Source organism: Homo sapiens, chromosome X, assembly GCF_000001405.40.
Source record: "Homo sapiens chromosome X, GRCh38.p14 Primary Assembly".
Lineage (NCBI taxonomy): Eukaryota > Metazoa > Chordata > Mammalia > Primates > Hominidae > Homo > Homo sapiens.
In genome coordinates, this window is record NC_000023.11 from 64,576,614 (window position 1) to 64,582,523 (window position 5,910).

Genomic DNA, 5,910 nt, shown 5'->3' on the forward strand with positions numbered 1-5,910 from the left:
ATAATCCACATATGTAGTTGTTTTACTTCATAAAAAACTAAATTCATAATACTCCAAAGATTCTACAAGCAACAACAGCCATAAATCAGTAACTTTGACAGGACTACCCAGAAATGTGCCTTCCTGGCAATGAGAGACATCTCAACACTCAAATTTTGATCATCAATATGAATATTTCAATCTGGTGAGAGCTAAAGAGAAAATACAGAAGGGATGCAGAGTATAGATCTGGATCAGTGGGATTCATAATAATAGCAGCAGGAGGCAGCCAAATGCCTAGGCAGATGGGTGAGTCCCCAGTGAAACCCCATCTCCAGGCAGAAAACAGTTTAAAGCCTGAAAGCCAAGCTAGAAGTCAAATCCACGAACCGGATTGAGAACATGTCTCCCCTTTTGACATGCTTTCCTCTGATTGATTCCCACTCCTCATCTATTTTACATTTCCCTTCCCTTTCCTAGTTGGTTTTCTACACTGTCATGTCCACCTTTGAGTGGTGTCTTTACCTTAACCATTTCTGAATACTCACAAACCAATCAGTGTGCACTCCCCATTCTGAGTCCATAAAAAAGCCTCAGACCCAGCCACACTGAGAGAAAAATTACCCGATTACGGGGATGGGGGACCACCCCCCGTGTCCCCTCTCTGCTGAGAGCTGTTCTGTGGCTCAAGAAAATTCTTCTCTGCCCATCTTCACCCTTCTGATTGTCGGTGTAACTTCATTCTTCTTGGATGTGGAACAAGAGCTCACAAACTGCAGAATGTGGGTACAATCTATAACACAGGCAGGCCAAGTAAACAGTGTGCCTCCAGGGGCAGGCCTGAGGACAAGCAAACCCCCAGGCATGGGGGCATTGCCATCCATGGAGGTCCCTGGTTGGCAAAGTGGCTGAGAAAAATCCTGCATCAATAACATATGCATCACATGTTCTTAGGCAATACTAGATATTAGGTATCAAATGCCTACCCTTTGCCAGGCATTCCACATACATTATGTTTTTCTCTTCAAGAGAATTATAAGTGATAAGTAGTATTAAACTTTATGTGTGTGTGTTTGTGTGTCATATTCAAGTAATTCAGTCAGTGGGCCAGGAGTGAGTGAAATGAGAATTGTGAGCCGCACCATGGTGTGGAGGGAAGAATACTTACAGTCTTCTGGTAAGATCTATATTTTTTAAGTTCATATTTTGAATTGGTAAAAAACACTAATAACATAAATTCAAGCTATAAAAATATATATAGTGAATAGAAAGATTCCCTCCCTCCCCTGTACCTAAGTCACGCCAAATTCACCTTCCTGGAAAAAATCACTATTATGGTTTCTTAAATTTCCACACAAATGATAGCATACCTATAACATGCTGCTTTGCATCTTGCATTTTAAACTTACATTATTCTGCAAGAGCAAATAGAGTTCATACTTGTCAATGGCTGCATAGTACTCTGACATACAGATAGATGTACTGTAATTTATTTAAAGAGACCCCTGATAGACATTTAGATTGTTTATAAACTACACTTCATTGAATCTCCTTGTATATCCATAATATGCAAGTATATCTGTGAGATAAATTCCCACAAGTGGAATTGCTGGGTCAAGGGATATGCACATTAAAAATCTTGATATAGACAAAATGCCCACTGTAGAGGTTGTTCTTGATTTATATTCTCACTGGCCATGCATAAGAATGACTGTTTCTTTATATCCTTGCTAATACAGTGCTTACAAACATTTTCATTTATGCCAATATGATAGGTGAAAAATGATATAGCACAGTTTGATTTTGCTTTCCTCTTATTATGATGAGACTATAAGCATCTTTTATATATTTAAAAGACACTTGTGTTTCCTTTTGTATAAACTGTTCTATTAATATATTTTGCCAATTTTTTTGTCTCTGAGTTTTTGGTCTTATTCCTATGACTTGTAGGAGCTTTTGTTTTTTGAGACAGGATCTAGCTCTGTCAACCAGGCTGGAGTGTAGTGGTGCAATCTCTGCTCACTGCAACCTCCACCTCCTGATCTCAAGCTATCCTCTCACTTCAGCCTCCTGAGTAGCTAGCTGGGACCACAGGCCCATGAATCATGTCTGGCTATTTTTTTTTTTTTTTTTTTTTTTTTTTTTTTTTGGTAGAGACAGGGTTTCACCATGTTGCTCAGGCTGGTCTTGAATTCCTGGGCTCAAGCCATCTGCCCAACTCAGCCTCCCAAAGTTCTGGGATTACAGGCATGAGTCACTGCCCTAGGCCGACTTTTAGGAGCTTTTTAAACAGAAAATTAGCCATTTGTGATAAGAAAGTTGCAAATATTTATTGTTGCATTTTGCTTTCTGTTGCCATGCAGAAAATTTGAATTTTATAGAGTCAAATTTATCCTTTTTTTTGTGTGTGATTTCTGGGTTCTATGTCATTGTTAGATTGATTATTAAAAATGTATTTAATATTTTATCTTATAATAATAACTTGTTTTACACTTAAGTTATTGATCCATAGGGAAATTATTTTGATGTATGACATGAATTAGAGAGGTATATAGCTCTGTTTTTTTCCAGATGACTACTCAATTGTCCCAATGCCATTTACTGCAATTTTTTTCTCTACTGATTTGAAAAACCACCTTTACCATGTATATTTGAATTCCCATGTGTATTTGAATCAACTTCTGAACTTTCTATTCTGTTCTAATTTATCAGACAGTCCTGGATGAGTCCTGGCCCTGTCACTTCTGTCTGTGTGAGTCTGGGCAGACTACAATTCTTACCAAGTCTCAGTTTTCTCATCTGTGAAGTGGAAGATCACTTACCTCATGGGCTTGTAAGGAATGCAAGAGATAACAGATGGGAAGATGCTTTGTAAACTGCAAATACCACACAGTTGAATATTATGGGAACTGTATAGTTGGAGAAAAAAATGTTAAGAACTAATTTTTTAATCAAAGATCAAAATAAGCACATCTAGACCCTAAAGAAAGAATCAACTGGATCCTGGCAAAATTAAAGAAAACTGGGGTCAATTGTAACAGTGAGATAGTACAGTGCTATGACCTAGAAAACACTTAACAGATATTAATGTTTATTATAAGGAACTGTGTATGGATTAGGGTGTAGGTATATATGTGTGTGTGGTTGTGGGGAGGGTTATAAAGAGCCCAGAAGTAACCCTAGCAGAGACAGATAGGCGCTTGGCAGTCTGTGGGGAGAGGGCCTGCCATAGTGAGTCAGGAAAGAGAAGGGCAGAAATTAAGGGTTACTGAAAGAACAGATCGAGATTGTTGTTACTGTGCATTTCCCTGTGAAATAAATCCCCAAAACATATAACATTTGAGCTGGAAAAGACTCAAGAGGTTATCTTCTGCAATTTCCCATTGTATAGGATTTGAAAGTGAATTTCAATAATATTATAAGGTTATAGATCTTATGATAAAATATTTTCAGCTTTAATATTAACAATTGAGCACCCAGCAATTCCCATGTGAACACATGTACACCCCTCTGGACTGCACTGGTGTGAATAAAAAGAGGCAGCCAGTAAAGGGAAATAGGAGAAGGGGAGGGAAGTGGGTAGAAACCCAGTCTCTCAGCTGCTAGCTAGAGGCAGCAGGTGGCTGGGGCACGGATGGGGGCAGGGCAAGAGTGGAGAGCAGGATGAGTAGTTCAGGCTTCTCACGAAGGAGCTATAAGGTCAGCCGAGAGAAAGGAAGAGTAGACCCAAAGCCAGGCGAGTAAGTTTATTGAACCTGCCAGGATGCTCCACCACACTCAGAGGAGACAGCCCTGAGCTTACAAAATGAGGGGTTTGTATTGGGGAGGGGAGTTTGGGGCAGTTCTTTGGTATGGCCGCATTACGGGCTTGTTTGCTGGCTAATTTTGCCACATATCACCTTGTGACATTTATGGTAGCAGGAACTTACAGAAGGGTGTAGGTAAAGTTTGTTTATGTTTCCCATGACCTCCCCCTGTGTGGTCTGGATGGTTTGTAATTGGGGTTTGCTTATTGCAGCAAGGTCTGATAAGTGAAGTCTGCTGGCTTCACTGTGGTGCCTTGATAAGGGGTTAGAAATGTAAAGTGGCTTGGGGGAAGGGTGGACAGTGCGGAGAGGTTTGGGGAAAGTGTCTGCAGTACTAAGAAGCTTTTTGGGGCCATCTGTCCCTAACAGGAGCCACCTGAGACCTGCCCTGGGCTTCCAAGCAAGACAAGCTGTGGCTAATGGGTGGCTGAGCAGTGCTGGGCGATCAGAGCCATGTGTGTGGGAGGGTGTCTAGGCCACTTGTTATGGGTAAGGCTCGGCGGTCTGGTTTGAGGCTGCTATTCCAGGCCAGTGTCCTGCTGCTGGCTATGCCCAGAGGTGCCATGGCTCAAGGTGAGTTCTGGATGGATAGTACCTGGTTATGGCATGGAGGCTTCCAGTGCCCAGAGGGAGGTGATAAGCCCAATACTACTTTCTGCTGTGGGATACATAATCTTCATTACTGTTGTACCACCTTCCAGGCTCGGCTAGATCAGGGACAGTCTCCAGAGGATGCACCTTGGCACTCCGATGAGGCTATGATCACATCTCCAGAAGCTAATCCTGGGGTTGAGGTGAGTAGCAGAGGGGAGCTAAGACTGTGGCAGGGGAGGGAGATGTCTTCTTTCCACTGGGTTCATGTATTGGTGCCAGGGGAATTCAAGGTAGTTGGCATGGTAAATGGAGGGTCAGATGACCAATGTTGGAACTCCAATTCCACCCCATCCCAACTGTGTGACTTTAGGTCAGGCACTTTGCTTCTCAAAACCTGCTTCCTCAATAGCCTGCTACTTATATCATGTTGGGATGGAGCTATGAGGAATCAAATGTTTTCTATGAATTACAAAAGTCTTGTTATATCTCAGAGGAAAGTGCTTCGGGATAGTCTTGAACCCAGCAACCTAGGTCTACCTTGGGAAGTCAGACCCCAAGACCCTTTGCCTCATAATTTTGCTTTCAAATGTAAGTGTTTGTCAGGCAGGGGTTTGGAATGCTCCCACAGTCCACCTTCACCTGAGCTATTGGGGAAGTATGGGACTCCCTGTCTAGGAGAAGCAGTTACTCATCAGATTCCCTTTACCCACTAAGGTGTGTTCCTGATTGGTCTCAGCTTGAGATAAATAAAATATCATTTATTTGCTTATTATTGAGCACCTACCCTGTACCAGACAGCAGAGACCCCATGCTGAAAAGTATTGCCTTTGCTTCCCCCTCCCTTTGAGGATGTGTTGGGGAAGAAAAGATTTTGAGAATTGTGACAGGGACAGGACTTCGAGAAGGCTTGTCTGACCCTTCTCCCTTCAAAGCACTTTAAAACTCATTTTTCTTGATTGGACAACATTTTTGTGCTTCTGAGCCCACCTTGGGGCTCTCTCCCTGCCCTCCTCATTCCTGTTTGTCTTCCCTGTGCTCAAATAGCCTGGATGTCCTGGGACTCTTGCAAGCAGTACTCCCCAGTCCCCAACCCCAAGGCTACCCTGGAGGCTTTGCATTTCTTTGGGCCTAGGATGGCCTTCGCCAGAAAAATTAATACCCATGGAGGCATCAGGGAGCTCAGTATCAGATTTCCTCCAGCCCAACATGTCCTCTGTATAGTGTCTTCACTACTCAAGTCCCTAGATCTGAGGGCTTGGAGTATCCAAAAGTATTGGAAAGGGCCAGCAGGCCTAGGGGGACCTGGACCACAGCCATGTGTGGCCTAGTGTAAAACAGGTCTAACCCCTGCTTTGCAGGATGGCTGAGGACTAAAGGAGACCATACATGTAGCATTGTGCCTGGCACATACATATTTTAAATATATATGATAATGTCTCCACTGCCTACTGGTGTCCCCTGAGGTTCTACTATAAACTGCCCGACTGGCTGGCTGAACTCCCCTTCCAGGGTCACTTCTGAAGTGAAGAAA

The 5,910-nt window shown here is 42.7% G+C and overlaps 1 annotated feature.

Annotated features, from left to right (window-relative positions):
• Positions 3,749-4,249: an enhancer, noted in NCBI's record as "H3K4me1 hESC enhancer chrX:63800242-63800742 (GRCh37/hg19 assembly coordinates)". NCBI's record gives its function as "activates a minimal SCP1, AML or CMV promoter by ChIP-STARR-seq in primed H9 embryonic stem cells {active_cell/tissue: H9 hESC(primed)}" and the evidence as "EXISTENCE:reporter gene assay evidence [ECO:0000049][PMID:30033119]".